The following is a 20626-nucleotide window of genomic DNA, read 5'->3' on the forward strand; positions in this document are numbered from 1 at the left end:
CGAAACTAGGCTTAACAAACATGCGGACAAGCTCAAGGCAGGCCTCCCCACGAATTACTTTCCCTGGGTTTTAAAAATTGGTTTACAAATGTTAAATGTTTTTTGTTAAAAGACATGTCTCTATAAATCAGAGCCTGCAAGTGCCTTTAAGAGAGGCAACTAAGTAGCACCCTAGTCTAGTCGGTTAATACCACTGCTGTAGACAAGAAGGTGTGTTGCTGGATTCTGCTTCAAGGATGGGCTTGCTGGCCAGCTGTGGGGGGTGCAGGCATCAGGCAACCCATAGTCTTCATAGCCTTCTGTGTCTGCCTCAGCTGCAGAGAGACGCCTGTCCTTTCGCCCTCAGCCTGAGCAGCCCACCTCCATTAACTGAGATGGAGAGAGGGATAGCGGCCCAGCCACTTCTGCCTAAAGGGGCCATCTCTGTTGGATCCTACACTTCTGAGCTCCCAGTTGGGTTGGTTCAGGCTTGTTGGGCCTGCATGGCAATCCTTCTTTTTCCTTTGCCAAATCCATCTTTGTTTGCTGCCATTCACAGGTGTTGATCCAAAATCTATCTTAGTATCTGCTTTTAGGAAACTCTGCAACAATCAATCTATCTTTTCTGCTTGGAAAAGAGTAGAAAAAAAGAAATAATTGGACCCTTAAAGTAAATGCCTAAAAGCCTTTTCAGATAACTTACCTTTTCAATAATTTTTATATAAGAGAGGAAAAGATTACAAGTTTTTTAGTCTCAGGAAAGAAAAATTATCTAGTATTAATACTATAAAAGTAGTTAGTTATGTAGTAAGTTGACTCTTAACATAGCCCACTTAACCACTTTTTACAATGGGAAGAAAAGTTTCCTGATTTCTTGATTTATGAGGCTCCAAAAACTCTTGTTTTGAAGGTTTTCACACTCAGTTCCTGTTTAATTAATAATTGCCCTGAATGTTTTCCCATGTATCTAATTATGTTTTGCAGTTCCATCAACCTTCCTAGCTAGTCTCAAAATACCAAAACGTTGCCTTGCCCTTGTTGTGGGTGTGGTCAAGGTTTCCTCTCTTGGGATTTCTTGCATGGGGTATGAGGGGTGGTGTTGTGGGGGAGAAGGAGAGGGATGCATAGAGTGGAGAAGAGAGTGTAGGGCGCTCATCCCTAGGGCACCAGCCTCTACTCTGTTGCCCCAGAAATGTTTCCAGACGTGTATCTGGACTTCACCCTTTAATTACCTAATTGGGTAGGTTGTAGGTAGTATGGAATCTAATGAACTGGATCAGGGAAAAAAAAATCTGAAGGAATAAGTGATCTCTCCTTGAAGGTGCTGCAGAGGTAATGAGCAGAGTTAATGAGTGACTGATCCATGGTGGTGGTCAATTTAATTTGAGTACTGAGGTTGAACACATGCTAGATGTAATAGAAAGCAATATTCATATGCAACACGTTGGGTTACATAAAATCTGGAAAGCTTATAATTTAAAAGATACAGACACACAAAGCAACGATTCAGGCCAAGCCAGATTTAGAACTGTTTTTTAATATGAGACTGAGGGATGATATCCTGGATCTCACAGGGGCTGGATTTTGCCTGAGTGTTAGAGCTAAGATAACATCTTATTCTTGTCTATATTTCAAGAAGCATTCTTATTAGGACCATCTTCTAGAAGAAAGAAAGTTACATTTAAGAAGATTGAAACGTGAGTCAGTTTTCCGTATTGGAGAACGATGAAAAACCAAATATATGAATTCTGAAAATTTTGTGAAAGTAGACACCTTAAAAAAATAAGAAAACATTATGAAACAGAGTTGGTCTTCATTTTTAGGTTTAACCAATCCTATTAATAATATATAGATATACTTTTGTCATAAAAATATTGTTTAGGTTTTACTCAGTAAGTTGTGAAAGCTATTTTGCTTGCTTCTAATATAGTTCTTAGATTTCATCTCATAGTAAAAAAAATTACAAACTTCTTACAAAATGAAAATATCCTTTCCCTCGGTGATGATTCAAAACAGTCAATAATATTTTCTCACAATGCTACTGATGGGGTATTCTCAGAACTCTCCATTTTTAATTCAGATACATTTCTAGTCAATTTCTTTAACCTCACAGTGGGAGGTTTAAACTAAGTGATGTCACTTTAGGTATACTCAAATTGGCAATGCAAATATTTCCTTTGTTGGACATTGGGTTCTCACAGCATCTCCTAAACAAAATACATTTGCTTTAAAATTAGTGGCTTCCATCATGCATTGGCTGGACTGTTTTGTAAGTCTGTAGTATAAAAATCCAAAAACATTTGCTTCCAGCTGGCCTGTCTTGAACTAACACTGTTTTTTTTTCCTTTTCTCACTTCACTCTCTGACCTTTTAGAGGGTTTTCTTTTTTATGCTGCTGTTAGCTTTCATCTCTGCTGGTCATTCTTTCATCCTGTTTCTTCTGGGTTTCATTAACCTGTTTGTGTGAATGTTCCTTTTTTTTGTTTGTTTTTGTTTTTTAATATGTACCAGAAAAAGAAAGACTTCTTATAGTCGTGGTCACTCAAAAGTGTTGGTGGTTTTTTAAGAGGTCTTAATTGGACTTAATCCATATTTAACTCCCAGCATTTTATATAAGATACATCTTATTGTTCAGACTCATCTTTTCTAAAAGATAGTAGGGTAGGGAGAAAAAGGATACAATTTTTGAGCAATTACCAAATCTCAGAAAAAAATGTTCTTACCAGGTCACCTGGGGATAACGAAGGCAGTTTGGAGATTTTCTTCTGATTGTTTTTCGTTTATTTATGCTTTGAGTATCAGTGTTCAGTTTTAAATTCCCACTGAGAATGTTCTCATTTTGTCATTAAACTTGAATTTAGTCTCTGAATTTTTCTCTTGATGTATCACACTAATGTCCAGAAGAGTCATTAAGAAATTGTAAAGAGACCCCAGTGCTATCTATATTTATGGTCTTCTTTAGAATGTGTTTATCAGATATTTGTGACTCTCTTCATAGAAGTAAAATACTAACATTAAAAAAGAGATTACCCGAGGGCTCAAAGGTGCAACATTATCTTGGGTTTTATTTGTCAACAATTTGAAATGTAAGAAAAAAACTGAATGTATGAATGTAATCCTTTGAAAAGGTGACTCTTACTGGTGGACTTGGTCCTCTGGAGTTGAATGAATGCTTCTGAGACATAAGTACTTTTTCTTTTCCTCCCTACAGGTTGGTAGGACAACGCTTTCCATTAACTTTGATTTTACTACTCCTGATAGTCTGACCTTTATCTTCTAATCCAATTACATATTCAAATTTCTTCCTTCTGTTTATTCTATCTACCTTTAGATGAGCCAACTGAGAGATGAACATTTAAAATGCATAAATACGTATTTTGCCATACACTGTTTTTTTTTACTTTATGCTTTATACATCATGAAATTTACTGGTAAGACATCAAACACTTATTGAAGGCTGATATGGTCTGGCTCTGTGTCCTCACCCCAAATCTCATCTCGAATTGTAATCCCCATGTGTCAAGGGAGGGACCAGGTTGGGGGGTGATTGGATCGTGGGGGCAGTTTCCCCTATGCTGTTCTCATGATAGTGAGTGAGTTCTCATGAGATCTGATGGTTTTGTAAGTGGTGGTTTCCCCTGCTCTTTTCTCTCTCCTGTCACCTTGTGAAGAAGTTGCTTGCTTCCCCTTTGCCTTCTGCCATGACTGTAAGTTTCCTGAGGCCTCCTCAGCCATGCGGAACTGTGAGTCAGTTTATAAATTACACAGTCTCAGGTATTCTTTATAGCAGTGTGAAAACGGACTAATACAAAGGCCTGTGTATATTTTTGACTTTTTATTTGGAAATAATTGCAAACGTATAGAAGTTACTTGAATAGGAATAGTAGAAAGAACATCAGTTAACCCTTTACCCAGCTTCTATTGTCAACATTGTAGTCAATTTGCCTAATCATTTGTGCACTCTCTGTTCTGTTTCTTTCTCTCTCCACATAGCATATATATGTGCATAATGTATATCTGCACACAGATATATAAATACATGTATAATAATGTGTATATCCCATAAAATATTTTGTTTTTACTAAAGAATTTGAGAACAAGTTTTACATAGCATGGTCTTTTATGCCTAAATAGTTTAGTATTTTTTATATATAGTTATATTCTCATAAATAACCACAGAGAAGCCCTCAATATCAGTAAATATGACATTAATACTTTAATTTGTATTTCAATTATCTCATTGGCCCAATGTTTGTTATAGCTTCTTTTTCCACCAGTACTGGATCCAGTTTAGGGACAGATACTGCACTTAGTTGTCATGTTTCTTTAATCTCTAAAACATTGCCATAGCCTTTAAAAAATTTTTTTTTTTTGCCCTTTGTGACAGTGACAGATTTGAAGACAGAGTCCCCATACTTTTTATAAACAGGAGTCTTTGTATTTTGAATTTGTCTGATGTTTCCTCATGATTAGATTTAAGTTCTGCATTCCTGGCCAGGATATTGCATATGTGATATTGTGTGCTTCTCAGACAGCCACATCTGGAGGCACACGATGTCTATCTGCCCCTCCCTGGTGACACCAGTTTTCCTCACACAGTAGGAGTGTTGTCCTATTTCTCCAACTGTAAATAGTTACTATTTTCTCCTTTGCAAAATAATGAGTTTGAAGAGAGACACTTTAAGACCACCCAAATATCCTGCTCCTCATTACAATTTCCCCTCAGATTTAGCATCTATTGGGATTCTTACCTGAACCAATCTTTGCTGTGATGGCAACAAAATGACAAGGATCACTTCAGCACTCCCTCCATGTTTACCAGTCAGCATGTGACCTTCTACTTTAACCAAGGACCCTGCCTTTTCCTCGTGTATGGATGAATGTGTCTTAGTCTGTCTATAACAAAATACCTTATAACAAAATACCTTACACTGGGTAGTCTATATATAGTAGAAATTTATTACTCACAGTTCTGGAGACTGGGAAGTTCAAGTTCAAGGCACCAGCATATTTGGTGTCTTGTAAGGGCCCTTTCCTTATACATGGTGCTTTCTCTCTGTCCTCACGTGGTGGAAAGAGTGAACAAACTCCCTCAGGCCCCTTTTATAAGAACATTAATTCCTAATCACCTCCCAAAGATCCCACCTCTTAATACCATTACTCTAGAGGTTAAGTTTCAACACATGCATTTTGGGGGGATACATATATTCACACCATAGCAGTGTGTATTATCTGTATGAACCCACGGATTTCTGTTTCCCCACCCCACCTTCCCCCAAGTGGTATATAATTATTATCCTTATTTAGCTTGGTGCTTGGATTATCCCAAATTTGGCCAGTTGGGGTCCTTTCGAGCTGGCTAGGTATGCCTGTGCCATATGTCCATTAATCTTTGGAGCACATCCTTACCTCTGATATAACAAAATGTTCCAGGCTCATCACACTTCCCCAGCCCTGCTTTCAGCGACTTCTCTAAGAACCACTTCTCTAAAAGCCCCTTTTGGTGGGGAATGGTGTTAGAGATAAAAATCCATGCACTAGCTGTGCTGTTTGCTCCTGGAATATCTCTGCTTCTACACCTTTTTAAGTGAACAGAGCTAGGAGATATATGCATGCATATACACACTCTTACATACATACATATAAATGCACATACATACACATTATATGCACACATACATGTTTATACACATACATGTGCATATTTTAGGTATCATAAGTGTACACCAATACCTCCATTTTCAATTCATCTTTTTTGCCTTCCTCCATTCCATATTTGCATGTACCTTCTTTCACAGTGAGAGTCTTGGCTTCTAAAATCGATAGATTTACACATTTGCTCAATCTCATAATACACCTAAAGTAGTTTCAGAATGACTTCACCCATGTCTACAAAAATGCAAAGCTACTCAAAAGAGTTCAGGATCTCTAGTTTCCAGTTTTTCCATCTCCCTACCCTGCCCAAGGCTGAGGGCTGTAGGATGTGCAGTCAAAACTGTTGTAAGTTATGAAAATTAGTTATTTTTTGCCCTGCATTGTAATTATAGTATTCATTTGAAATACAATTGGGTTCATTGTTTCAGTTTCTCCCTTTCCTATCCTTGTTGATTTAATTGTTTTGGATATGTCAAGCATTAACATGCTTTCAAAAGTCAAAACTTACAGAAAGATATACTCAGAAAAGTGTTCCTCCTTTTTACAGCCCTGGCACTCTCATCACCTTCACCCTTTGTGGGTAACCAACATATTAATAATTGTTTCTGGCTTTTCATTCTGGTGAATTTTTGGTAAATATAAGATATATGTATGTTTTCTTATTTTTCCATCTTTCCTAAACAAAGATAGTGGTATTACATACAGTCTCTGGTGCTTTGATTTTTCACTTTACAAGATCTTTTGACCATCATTCCATATCAGTCCATAGAGAGCTTTCTCATTCTTGTTTACCATGACAGAGTATCCATTGTGTGTTTGTACTAGAGTTTATTCAACAGTGTCCTATGATTAGACATATAGGCAGTTTCTAATATTTGCAATTACAAACACTGCCACAATGAATAAACTTCTGGATATGTATTTTTGCAGTTGTAAGACTATCTTTAGAATAAATTCCTAGAAGTGAGATTGTTGGGTTTATGGACAAATGCATATGTAATTTTGGTTGCTATTGTCCAATCCTCTTCTGTGGAGTTTGTATCATTTTGGATCCTCAACAGCAACGTATGAAAGTGCCTGTTTCCTCACAGCCCCAGCAATGAACTGTATTGTGACACTTTTGAATTTTTCCCAATGGGATGGGTGAGAAGTTGTATCTCATTGTAGTTTAATTTGTGTCTACTATTATCAGTGAAGTTGAACATCTTTTCAAATGCTTAAGGACCATTTAAAATATCTTTCTGTGAGTTGTCTACTTATATTTTTTGCCCATATGTCTATAGGATGTTTTTCTCCTTTAATTTGTAAAAGTTTGTTTTTATATTAAGAATATCCATCCGTTATCTATGAGATATTCAATATTGCTTATATTGCAAATATTTTATCCTGGCTTGTACTTTGTTATTTGACTTTGCTTGTATTTTTTCTTTGTAAAATTTTAATTTTCATTTAGTTAAGTTTATCACTCATTTCTTCAATTACATCTGAATTTTTAGTCACAGTTAGAAAGGCTTTTCTTATAGAGGAATTCACACATCTTTTTCCCCTAGTACTTGCATAGTTTTATTTTTTACACTTTGATTCATTTTGAATTTATTTTTGTGTATGGTGTGAAGAATTGATCTAATTTTATCTTTTTCCAAATGGCTAATCAGTTGTCCAGCATGACTTATAAAAAGCCAATCTTTGCTTTAATGATTTGCAATACCAACTTTATCATATACTGAATTTTTTTTTTTTTTTTTTTTTTTTTAGATGGAGTCTCCCTCTTGTTGCCCAGGCTGGAGTGCAATGGTGTGATCTTGGCTCACTGCAACCTCCACCTCCCAGGTTCAAGCAGTTCTCATGCCTCACCCTCCCAAGTAGCTGGGATTACAGGTGCCCACCACCATGCCTGGCTAATTTTGTTTTTTTTTTTTGTATTTTTAGTAGATACGGGGTTTCATCATGTTGGCCAGGCTGATTTCGAACTCCTGACCTCAAGAGAGCTGCCCGCCTCGACTTCCCAAAGTGCTAGGATTACAGGCATGAGCCATCACACCCAGCCTCATATATTGTATTCTGTATATAATTAAGACCTTTCCTTTTCAAGGCAATATATATAACAATAAAAAGATGAATTAAGTAAGCCCTCTGAATTAATATATTAAGTGGTCCCTCAGAAGGGAGAAATTTTGAAATTAAATATTATCTAAAGATTTTGATATTCACTTAATGGGAGTATCTGAATTAAGTGTCACAACTAAAATAGTAGAGTGGTCACATTCCCTAGCACCAGTTCTCAAACTTTGTTAAAAATGCAGATTCCTGAGCTCTATCATTAAACATTTTTATTTAGAAGTGGGGAGTGTGGCCTTCGTATTTCAGCTGCTTAACTAGTAGCACAGCGAAGACGGTATAAGGGTCTTTGGATCACTTTTTGAAAAGCATGGTCTTAGAGAGAAGGAACAGCCCACACTCGTTCACAGTGTAGCAACACGCGGGAAAGAGAACAGTCAAATTGTTTTGATGATGACGAAAGGAAATGCAGGCTTTCTAGTATATACAAAACATATTCAAAAATCTAGAAGTTTATCACTAAGGTTTTTGGAAGTAAATCTACATTTAGCAACTCAATTTTTTAGATTTTATTCTCAATTATCTGGACATGAGATTTAGGTCTGTGATTCTCAGGTCTTCTTAGTTATACATATCACTCAAGGAGCTATGGACTCCAAATGACTTATGTTTGTGATAAAGCCTCATTTACCCCACAATAATAGGAAAGCTGCTCTGATTTTCTGAAGTTAGAAATGAAAGATTAAGTAAGTACATTTGTTATAGTTTAATATTACACATTGTATGATGAAAACATTGTCTCCTACACTGCCTCCTATTATCTGGAAAATTAGTAATACTAAAGTGTTCTTTCAAAACCAGAGACCTAAATGGCTGGAAGCAATAATTGCTAGAGCTCTCCACCAAGCTTTGACTATAAATATTTGGCCATATTGTGTGTTAGAAAATATAAGACACACTTGCTTTCATTTTCTGAGCCTGACTCACTGAATTTTCTTGTCCAGATTGGTTTTCATCTGTTTATTCCTTTAGAGCATAGATTAGAGTCCATTGTGGTTCTCATCTCTGTTATGCATGTTTTTTTATGAATAAAATGCCAGGCACACAGAGCATACATATGCACATTTTACTACGAGATAGTAAAAGCTCAATGTGCTGGGACTGCATTCCCAATGTGACCTTATTTTCCCACTCTTTGCAGTTTTAAAATGTTACGTTAATCTGGCGTTCTGGACGGGGATTTTCTCTTCTTTACAGTGAGTCCCAGCAGTATATAGCGGCCATAGAATAGCTAAACTTGAAGAGGCTTTTTGGCAAAGATTTGAATATATGTCCTTTGGCCTTTTCTGGTTCTTGTCTGTATTTCATAATACAAAACTAATGAGGATTTCACTTTGGTGAAATCTGCCTTACTAAATGATGCTTGCAAATAACACATTCATTTGTTAGCATTTGGGATTCTGATTAAATCATTTTGCTTTAGTAGCTGTTAAAGATTATAGTTTGAAAGAAAAAAGTGTTTTGGCATTGAGTACTTTGAGACCCCTGTACAGTGTACCAAAATCTATGCAAATTGTTACGAGGCCTTTTAATTACAGGTGAACCCCAGCACTTATTATCATCTGATGCACAGATTATGCACATGTCATATATTGGTAATAAAATATCAAAGTTAGACTGACACTCTTAAAGTGCTTAACACTGTTTTATTGGCTTACTAGCCCTAACTGGATTCATTGCATCCATTTTTTTCATTCTGCCACTTAAAACATTTGCCACGTTGTTTTATTCATGCTTTTATCACAGCTTTGTCTGTAACTACATTGACTTGATTACTCATATTCTATGGCAATTCCTGACATTTGGCTTATTTTTCCACTAGCCTCCTTACTTTTAAAAACCACTCCATCTCATTTTTCAACAACCTCTGATTATCTCAAAGTTACCTCGGATTATCCTGACACGTCCTTCGGCTTCTGAGGATATTGACTCAGTATTTCAAGACTGAGGTGACTCTGAGACAGAAGACGGAGCCAGTGGTGATGTGCTCCCTTATTCAGACTCTTTGAATAATGCTTTTTACTCAGCTATGGACTCTGCTAGAAAGACACTTTAATATTTTTGCCATTTATATTTTTCTGTTGTTGAAAAATAATAGAAACCAGTGCCTTAGTTGGTTTAACAATTCAACAAAGTTGTTTTCAAAAGAAGAAAGAAAATGTAACTCCATTTAGGTTGTCTTTCATTTGCAAACACTAACTGAAACTTGAGTTAGGGATTGTATAACTTGGAAACAGTATTAATAAAATGAAGTCATTGTCATATTAAAAATGTCCTAATGTTCACTTTAAGTGTATTTTTAAAAACCTCACAGGCAATGGTGTGAAAGAAACCAAGGAGATGTTTACATTCATTAGTTCCACTGGAAAAAACTGGTTAATGTAATTGTATAGATTTTTCCCTTCTTGTTTTGTGTGCTGTATAACCCAGTCTTTGCTTTATGTACAAATACCCTGGTTTCTAAATGCTACTTATTTTCTTCAGAAATAAAGTATGCTTTCAATTTAGTGAGTAACTTTATATGTATGTGCATTTGTTTGGAAGAGATAGTAAGTAATAATAATTTAATTCATGTAGGGCAGCCTTTTCTTCTAAGAAGCTTCATTAATTCACATATGGTATAATTATTTTTTATTTCCCTTTACCAGAATAAATCTTTCCTTCTAGAATGATGCTTTTTCCTTGAGTGGATACTGCCTCTCTTTAAAGTATCTTAGCTTAGAATTAAAAAAAAAAAAGTTAATTTTTCTTGAAAACGAATCCCAGACATTATTGGATGGTGGAGTTGGCTCAATGACTTAACTATGTCAGGTCTGACATCTCTGTTAATTCTTTAAGCCTTTTCCTTGTGATTAGAACATGGCTGTCATCAATCCAGCCATCATATCTACTTTTAAGTCAGGAAGAAATGGAAAGGACCTGCCTTTTGCTTATAATTTTAAATATAAAGGATTCTCAGGAAGTTCTGTAAACTGAAAATAGAAATGCTGCTCATTTTCTACTTGAAATAATATTTTTACCTTTCAAATTGATTATCTGAAAGGTTATAAAAATATATCTTTATTACATTATTTCACATATATTCATTTAAGAAATATTTTTCACTAACTATGTTCCATACAATGTTTTAGAAGTTGAGACTACAAATGCTAATAAAACAGGGATTTTGCCTTTAAGTCGCTTCTGGATTCATCAGGAAGAAATACAAGAAAACAGACAAGAATAGTACTGTGTGAATCACAAAGCATAGAGCTTAGCACTACAGAAGCATCAGATAGGGTGTGGAGCTGCTCTCTATTAGCTGGAACAGATGAGACTTGACCTGTGATCTGGAGCATGAAGATAAGGTGATTGATAAAAGCAAGAGGAAGCTATGGAAGTTATCTAGACACGAGGACCTGCATGTGCAAAGGCCTGGAAGTGACAGAGTGTATGGTTTACTCAAGAACAAGTGATTGCATATGGCTGGATCATAGGCACAAAGGGTGGAAATTTAGGCAAATACTTTACTCAGGACTTTGGTCTTCATCCTATCCATGATAATTGTGCTATAGCCTTCTACTTTTACCTGATGCTAATTCCTTAGAACTTAGTTTTGGTTTCACTTTTCTGCAACTTGTAAACCAATAAGTCAAATATTTTTCTTGTATTAACACTAGTATTTAGTAGGAACTGTATATTGGTGATCTGCTGGCCTACTCTGACCTACGGGCATGGATAGTGGGATATTTTTGTTTTGTTTTTTTTCTTTTTTTAACCTGTACAGAATAAAAAATTGAATTAGTTTCCAACATTTCACAATCAAGAGATTTCACAGATGAAACTAGTTTTTCTGGAAAAATGAGAAGATCTGGAAATCCTGGGCCTGCATTCCCATATGGCAACAGTAAGCTGGAGCTGAGTAAGGGTAGGTAGTATCTGGTTCACTACAGTCTTCATTTTCTGTTGTTTTACAACATACTCACCTAACTAATTAAAAGTGCTTGGTTGGCTGATGAAGACGCTTATATTTGCTATCTCTAGTGCTGATAGAGACAGGAGGCAGCCAAATGCCTAGGCAGATAGGAGCGGGTACACAGTGAAACCCCACCTTCAAGTGGAAGGTTTAAAGCCTGCGACCCAGCCACATGGGGGACTTTCCTGCCTTTGGATTAGGTAATCACCCACTGCTTCACCATTCCACTGAGAGCTGTTCCATTGCTCAATAAAAATATTCTCTGCCCTCCTCACCCTTCAATGTCCAGTGTATCCTCATCCTTCTTGGGTGCAGTAGAAGAGCTCAGGAATCACCAAACAGGGGTACAAGCTATGACACAGGCAAGCTGGGGCATGCCAGTGTGGCAGAGCGAGGCCTGGAAAGGAGTTGCCAGCTGGGGGCCCCCGGCTTGCAAAGTGACCTAGAAGAAAAGTCCCGCATCTGTGCAGGACATAGAACTACATAAATTTAGTTAACTTGCACAATAACAGTTCTGGACAAGGTGCAGTGACATAATTCTGTTTTCGTTTATGCAAGCTGACCCTGTGGTCAGTGGGTTCACAATGGCCAATAGCTTGCTTCAGCGAACAGAAATGAAACACCTCTGTGTTATGAATCTTGTTTCTAATTATCTTATACAATGTTTGTAACTCTCAAAATGGTTGCTCCCGATAGACATTATAATCTAAAAATCCCTTCAGCAAATTATAAGAAAAGGAACATAAGATTATGAGTCTGGAGGCATGATGACTTCACAGTAACAAACATCCCAAATGGCATTGGTTGACCATTTAATTTCCTTGGCCCTCAGAAACTTCCATTAGAAAATGTCTGTAATGTCACCCCCAATATCTATCTGAGAGGTTATTACTGGCATTCAAGTGAAACAGGGTGTGTTTCAGAAAGAAAAGCAGGTAACTACTGAGGACCCACAGATGAAAGGAAATGTTGCTCATGGTTAGGGGTCTTGGGATCTTGATAAAATGTCTGACCAGAAAGTACTATTGGCTAAAGGAAACTGTCCAACTTTAAACCAAAATATGATTCCATATGGAGACTTTAAGGGATGTGGCTGGTAGACAGACTAGCAGTAGACAAAGATTTCAAGAACTTTCTGCATTATGTTTTGCTCAGAGAGTGGATGGAATTTATTGAGCCTATTACTGTATGGTCACTATTAGATTTAGTGGCAAAACCCCGTCTTTACTAAAAATACAAAAATAATTAGCTGGGTGTGGTAGTGGGTGCCTGTAATCCCAGCTACTAGGGAGGTTGAGGTAGGAGAATTGCTTGAACCCGGGAGGCGGAGGTTGCAGTGAGCTGAGAGTACGCCACTGCACTCCAGCCTGGGTGACAAAGTGAGACTCTGTCTCAAAAAAAAAAAAAAAAAAAAAAAAAGATTTACATAACAAAAAAAAAAAAGACAAAGATTATATGGCCTAGTTCACTCATTTTAATGACAAAAAGTAGATTCTCAGTGAGACAAAGTAACTAATTAGTATCAGAGACAAAACAAGAAACATTGGATATCTAAACTCTCAATCCAATGATCCTTACATTATGCCTGTGGTGTCACTTAGAAGAGAGAGATTTTGATGCTCACACGGGGTTTACCTGAAAAGCTGTTGGTTTTTCTGTTTCCTAAGAAAGCTAGAGAAGACCCTTTTCTTTTGTATCCTTTAAGGCTTATTTACTTTGTGGGTCAGTTAGGGGAGCCTCAATATGTTGTGATGGATGGATTTGGGGGTCAACAGGGATTCTTACGATATTTGATTTTTCAGTAGTTAGAGGAAATAAGAGCAAATTGCTTAATTGCTTCAAATATTCTGGAAGGCAAGCATTCCAAGCACATCTTACTCTTTTGGCTGTTGGAGTCATAGGTCTTCAATCCTCCTAACACAGGAAGAATCTTCACCGCTAAAAATCTGGCATAATTTTTTTACACTCACAAGAAAACCTGTCGTAGGTGAGTAAAATCATGTATCACCTCTAATAAATTTTATTTTTATAAAGTTTTGATAGCATTTCGTATGAAAAATATTTTCATACATGAAATTTTAAAATAGTTTATTGATGGCTTTTTCTGCTCAATGTGCTGCAAGAGGCAAAAGTTTCCCAATGTAGGTTTAAAATCCTTTGATAATGCTAGAATTGGACTATTAGTGTGCTTGTGTAAATCATTGTTGCCAATTACAATTTATCTATCAATTGTGATAGTTCTAATTTTAGCTAGTGTTAACCTTAAAAATAAATTCTTTATATTTGTTTAGTGCATTGCCAAGTCCACTTGCATTTTTTTCCTGTTTCTTAAATCATTTTTTTTCTCTCTACTGGTCACATCGTGCATGGACTTCTATAACATAGCTTCCTAACTGATTTTCCTGCATCACTCTTTGTCTTAAATTGTGCCTATTGACAGCTTGATTAAGCTTGGAAGTACATTAGGAGAATCCCCTTCCTGTGGAGTTTCCTGTAGCATTAGTCAGGAGAGGAACTTTAGTGGAAATACACTATTGGAAGCACACCAGATACAAAGATGAATAGATGCAGAGGTACCTGGTGGGTCCCAGTTTATCCTCACTGTCCTCCACATGGTGGTCCTCTCATCATCCAGAGTACAGGACCTGCTGACCACTGTGGCCCCAGGCCCACCACCAGATGCTTGATTCCAGACCCACAGAGGCAGTAGCTGCCAAAGGCAAAAGCTCTCCTGAGGTCTCCCTGAGCGCCTGCTCACAGCCCTGCTTCATAGATTGGCTGTGCTTGGCTTCTCAAGTCTCTCTGAAAGCATTGTCTTGCCAACCTGAGTCAGTGCTTCCTGACTTTTCCATCCTCCAACTCCCTCTCCCAGAACTTTCCTTTCCTTGCTCTTCCCACAATTCTGTAAACTCTAATTCCTATGGTAAATGCTTTATGGATTTACCATAATGCTCATAGTGACTCTGCTTCCACTACCAAAGCCCAGCTGATACACCCTTGAACTCATCCATTGCCTTTCCCAGAGCAAAACTTTTACAGTGAAAGTGATCATGAACTGACTTAATTCCCCTCTCCCCTTTCCTTGATCAATCCTTGATCCTCTTCATCTCTTTCAAAACTCTCACTTCCTAGGTTTCAGAGCTCCGTCTCCCTGGATTCTGCCCTCCTGGGCCACACACCCACATACTTTTGAGTTCAGGGCTTTTGCTCTGACTCACTTGCTAATATAGCAGGCTAGGATTTTATGTGGAGCAGATCTCAGTTCAAACTCTTGTGCTGCCCTTTCTAGCTGGGGACTTAGATAAGTTATTTGACATTTGTTAGGTATAACTTACTCACATGTAAGAGGGGGATAATGTCATAGTTATCTTATGAGGGTGGTAGGAGATGTAGATACAAAATTGAAAAGCATCTAGCAGTGCCAAATACCTGTGAGTGCCTCCACAGATGTTGACTTGCTTCCTCTTTTTCTTTATGCTGTGAACAATCCTCCATTGCCTTCCAAGGAGAAGAAGTGACCTCATGGTCCAGATGTTTTACTGCCTCTAGTATTGCAAATCCCAGTGGAGAAGGTTCCTGGTTGAACCATGAATTGAAACACCTAGCATTGAAGTAAGAACATCTTGGTTCAAGGGCAAGGGGCTTTATCTTTTAATGTGGGTGATTGTTCCTGTGAGTGATTATAGTGAAGCTGTACTTTGAAAAATTGCTGATGTTGATGCTGATTACAGATATGGAGAATGGACAAAATGAGAAAAGAAAAATGAAAAATTGAACTTTCCTGTAAAAGCAACACTAATTATAGACATTTATATCTATGGCTTATTATTTATAACTAATTAGTATGCAGCACAATGGCAGTGATGCAAGTCATTACATATATCACACCACCAACTTGTTTCACTCAATTGCAACAATAATTTCTCTCCATGGACACTTGACTATTGGTTTGTTGTTCAGGTTTGTTCATCTACTGATAACATAGAGTAATTAGAGGAATAGCAGTTTCCACAAAGAGAATACTGATGTATAGTGATAATTTTTTGCACTTCATCCCTTAAACAGTACTGTGGCAAAGTTGCTATTCTTATCTGCATTTTTCTGATAGGAAACTGAGGCCCAAAGAATGTAAGTAAATGCCAAAAGCCTTAAATATAGACGTTGGACTCAAACACTTTTCTCTTCCAAGCTCTTACTTGGACCTATGCGGCAAAGCTGATCTGTTGAAAGACGTTTAGTGACACATAAATGTCTTTAATTAATGGAATGAAAATGACATGAGATGGATTTGTAAAATCAAGATTTGTAGGTTTAGGCTTGAGTTCTACATCCTAGGGCAAAGGATGTGACTGCTTATCTGCCCCTAGGGTCAGAATTCCTGACATTCTTGTTTTTTAATGCTTGTGTCTGCTTGCACTTTGTAATCTGTAGGCTTCCTGAAAGCTCCAAAAATCTAAAAACAATAAATCATTCAACATCTTTTAGCTTGTTTTTCTTTTTTAGAGACAGAGTCTCACTGTGTCACATAGGCTGGATTGCAGTGGTGCAGTCATAGCTCATTGCAGCCCTGACACCTTGGGCTCAAGGGATATTCCTACTTCCACCTCCCAGGTAGCCAGGACTATAGATGCACACCATCATGCCTGGTTAGTTTTTTTTTTTTAATTTTTTAATTTTTTTTTTTTTTGTAGAGACAGGGTCTTGCTATGTTGCCCAGGCTCATCTTGAACTCCTGAGCTCAAGAGATCCTCCTGCCTCAGCCTCCCAAAGTACTGAGATTAAGGGTGTGAGCCACTGTGCCCAGCCATTATTGCATTTTTGAGCTACCCAAATGGCCTAGCACTATCTTCAATATTTCAGAAGTACCATACTGTGTTCCAAACAAAACATAGCATTCCCTATGGACAGTGTGGTTTCTAACCGAAGTGGACAGTGGGTCCTCATGCCTGATGGCTCTAGAGAAGAGAAGGCTGCAATTGGACCCAAGTTCTTCAGTTAGGCCAATAAATACTCCCTGTTACTCTGATCTGATGATTTTGAGATTTATCTGCAAGGTGTAGGGGAGAAGGAAAGTCAATTTGCCATGCTTAAAGGAAAAGATAATGGGTTAAAGAAGACTTTGATGAAGCTTTGAAGTCTTAAGAAAGCTAGATTATATCATTCTCTCCAAAGGTGTTTCAGTCGCCCTTTTTACCTTGGGGTTTGGCGGTTATTTTATGCCCCCTAAAAACAATGTACCAATTATCCAGTGACTAGTGTTCCAATTAATTTATGGACATGAAGATTAACATGCAATCTGCTAATGCATTAATGAGTTTGTAATATTTAGAAATAGGAGGACCAAAACTGGTAGACCAATTCTGAGTTTTATCAACTTCAGTGGTTGAAATTAAAATGAAAATAGCAACATTTGTTTTTATTCTCCCTACAAAGAAACTAATTATTTTCCTCTGGGTAATGATAATTAACAAAATTCCTATTGTGTTCCTGATCAGTTCACAGCTGGCACTTCGATAATTACAAAGACTTGGTTTTATGAGGTGACATTAAACTCCTGCCTAACTTGGGAAGTACATTAATTGTATACTATTGCCTGAGCTTATTAATTCTAAATTATGCCTCAATGAACTTCTCAAATTGGGAGCAACATTTATATTAATAAACTAGTCAGTGAGAGGGAGGGAAGGAGGGTGCGAGAGAGAGAGAGAGAAAAAGAGAGATCATAAGAATCTACTACTGAGTGTAGATTTTGTCTGCTCCAGATGTTATAGCTGGGTTTAAAAAACTTTGATATGTTTGAATAAATTCCAAAGGAACGTCTCATCCATTCTTTTTTTTTTTTTTTTTTTTGTGACAGAGTCTCACTCTGTCACCCAGGCTGGAGTGCAGTGGCATGATCTTGGTTCACTGCAACCTCTGCCTCCTGGGTTCAAGCGAGTCTCCTGCCTCAGCCTCCCAAGTAGCTGGGATTACAGGTGCCCACCACACACACCTGGCTGTTATTTTGTATTTTTAGTAGAGGCGGGGTTTCACCATGTTGGCCAGTGGTCTTGAACTCCTGACCTCAATTGATCCGCCCACCTCTGTCTCCATCTCCCAAAGTGCTGGGATTACAAGCATGAGCCACTGCGCCCAGCCTCATCCATTCTTATAACACATTTTTAGCCATTCTTTTTTCATTTAAGCAGGAAAAGCGAAGTGCTAGGTAAGCCTGGGATTTGTGGTTGAAATGTGTTCAGAGTGCTACCCTCCCTCATTCCTTGGAACTTTCTGAAGGACCAGAACTGACCTGAGGACCTGTCGGGTGTGTATCACTGAGGGAGTTCCAGGGCTATGCAGGGAAGCCCTGAGTGGGATGCAGTGATTCCTCTCTATTGTGTCTATTTCCATGAGGGCTGCCATCCTTCATGTAACAGTACCTTTAGGAACAGGGACCATATATCTATATATTTCTATTTCTAAGTTTCAAACAGTGCTTGGCAGCTAACAGGTGGTCAACTAATGTTTGTCGGATGAATGAAGGGTGGTACCAAGGAAGAATGGTGCGTTTAGTCCTGGCTGCTAAAGGAGGTTTAATGATAATTGGCCAATGTGTGGTGATTAAGCCTCAACAGTTACATAGAAGAAACCATGTTTATACTCATGTTGCTTTAACAATGCCATTGAAGTCTGGCACCGTGTCTCATACCTGTAATCCTAGCACTTTAGGAGGCTGAGGCGGGTGGATCACTGAGGCCAGAAGTTTGAGACCAGCCTGGCAAACATGGCGAAACCCCATCTCTACTAAAAGTACAAAAATTAGCCAGGTGTGGGGGCACACACTTGTAATCCCAGCTACTCTGGAGGCTGAGGCATGAGAATTTCTTAAGCCCAGGAGGCAGAACTTGCAGTGAGCCAAGATTGCACCATTGCACTCCAGCCTGGTGACAGAGTGAGACTCTGTCTCAAAAAAAAAAAGCCAGTAAATGTTACTTCTATCTTAAATTTCCAGTATAGCAATTTAAAAGATGATCTTTAATTTTTATGGATACATAATAGTTGCACATATTTACTATTTATGGGGTACATGTGATATTTTGATACAAACATACACTGTGTAATGATCAAATCAGGGTAATTGCAATATCCAACACCTTAAACGTTTATTATTTCTTTGTGTTAAGAACATTCCAATTCTACTCTTTCAGTTATTTCAACAATAAATTATTGTTAACTATGGGAAATTTTTAAATACAATAATGTCTTATGCTGATGAGGATATGTGAAAGACACATTCATGCAACCCTTTCGGAAAGAAATTTAGCAGTATCTATCAAGAACTTGGACAATTTTCGTTATCTTTACTCTGGTAAAATTCAGCATCTGGAAGTCAGTTTTAATGAAGTAATTCAAAATAGAAAAATAGCTTTCTGTACACAAAGGTGGTGATCTCAGATTTATTTGAAATCATGGGAAATAATTTGAGTTTCCAATGAAATGGGAATGGTTACAAAATATTGCACATTGACTAATTGGTGCTTTGCTGATTTAAAATATTTTTCAAGACTTTACAGTAATATGAAGAATTCTTATATTAAGGTATAAAGTTTATACATCATTATCACAACTAAAATATACTATATATAGAAAAGCCTAGAAGGAAATATTATTAAATGTAAGAATAGAAAACAGATTGGGATAAAATCCAGGAAAATATTAACATTTTTAGTTGTATTTTTGGTTTGTTTTTGTTTTCCCAGTTTTTAGTAGACCCTTTTAATGATGCCTCCTCAACTCCCTTGTGTTGAGAATATGTGACTCTGCCCGGTCTCCTCCTCCCTTCCTCACCTACCACCACTTCTAACCTCCCACTACCCGTTGCAGATTGGATCATGATGGACACCTGACTCATGGTGGGCAAACTGGATCTTTTCTTCTGGGAATTAGACTTGGAAATTCAGAGAAAACAAGTCAGTTTGTATGCATGCCTTGGATTGAGAGACATGAACATTTTGGACTGGAGGTGCGGGCATCTTCTCCCACTTGCACAAAGAAAGCAGATTTTCAGGAAAATAAGACAAAAGCAGATATACAAAGAAAGAAAAAGACAAGAGTTCATGAGATCTAACAGAGGAACTGGTTAATGATGACTTTCCAGTTTCTGGTTGTAGCCTTCATGAAGCCTGGCTTATAATATACAGTGTTATTATTATTTATTCTCAAGTCAGTTTCTGTTCCTGCAATCAAGTATTACTATATAAGATGGCTTTACTTTTGGGTGTTTTTGGAAATATCTCTAGTGAGCATGTATTACTACTAGAATATTATAGTGTACATAATGATTGATGTATTTTTAAAAAACAATAGATATTTTATCAAGAGCTCCTGCTGACACACCATTTATAGCAAGTAAGAAGCATAGATTATTCATGGACGTAGAATTACAGTGCTTCACTGATTTTGTTTTTCTTACTTTTGGGAAATTTGATAATTTTATTTGCCTATAATATGCAGTTATTTGTTATTGTAAACAAACTTAATGTGACCAATATCAATTTTAAAATGATAAAGGGAAGAACCAATCATTAAGGTGGGTTGTGTCCAGCCTGTTCTCTGCACTTGTGCCATTGTCTAGCCTCTGTTCCCTGACTCTTGGCGAGGCCAGACAAAAATTATATTGCCACCATCTAACCTTTAGGAATACTCATGAATAAAAGCATTAATGACAAGGAAATTGTTCATAATGTGTTGTTTAATAAAAAAGTCACAAAACAGGATGGACAGTACACTACTAATTATATAAAGTATTAAAATATATAAAAAAGCCTGGCAGGAAATATATCTTTTTTTTTTTTGAAATGGAATCTTGCCCTGTCACCAGGCTGGAGTGCAGTGGCGTGATCTTGGCTCACTGAAACCTCTGCCTCCCGGGTTCAAGCG

The 20626-nt window shown here is 37.4% G+C and overlaps 2 long non-coding RNA genes across 2 annotated transcripts in view; both read left to right on the forward strand.

Annotated features, from left to right (window-relative positions):
- LOC101927189 (uncharacterized) overlaps positions 1-10267 on the forward strand; it is a 67686-nt gene extending 57419 nt beyond the window's left edge. The window contains exons 3-4 of the long non-coding RNA NR_125842.1: positions 7390-7464; positions 7564-10267. This is a non-coding gene — a long non-coding RNA (uncharacterized LOC101927189). The remainder of the gene's footprint in view (positions 1-7389; positions 7465-7563) is intronic.
- A 1222-nt stretch (positions 10268-11489) lies between these two features.
- Positions 11490-19752, forward strand: MLIP-IT1 (MLIP intronic transcript 1). The gene is made up of 4 exons (NR_046832.1): positions 11490-11659; positions 13510-13694; positions 15214-15319; positions 19571-19752. It is a non-coding gene; the product is annotated as an MLIP intronic transcript 1 (long non-coding RNA).
- The last annotated feature ends 874 nt before the right edge of the window (positions 19753-20626 follow it).

This window comes from Homo sapiens, chromosome 6, assembly GCF_000001405.40.
Source record: "Homo sapiens chromosome 6, GRCh38.p14 Primary Assembly".
NCBI lineage: Eukaryota > Metazoa > Chordata > Mammalia > Primates > Hominidae > Homo > Homo sapiens.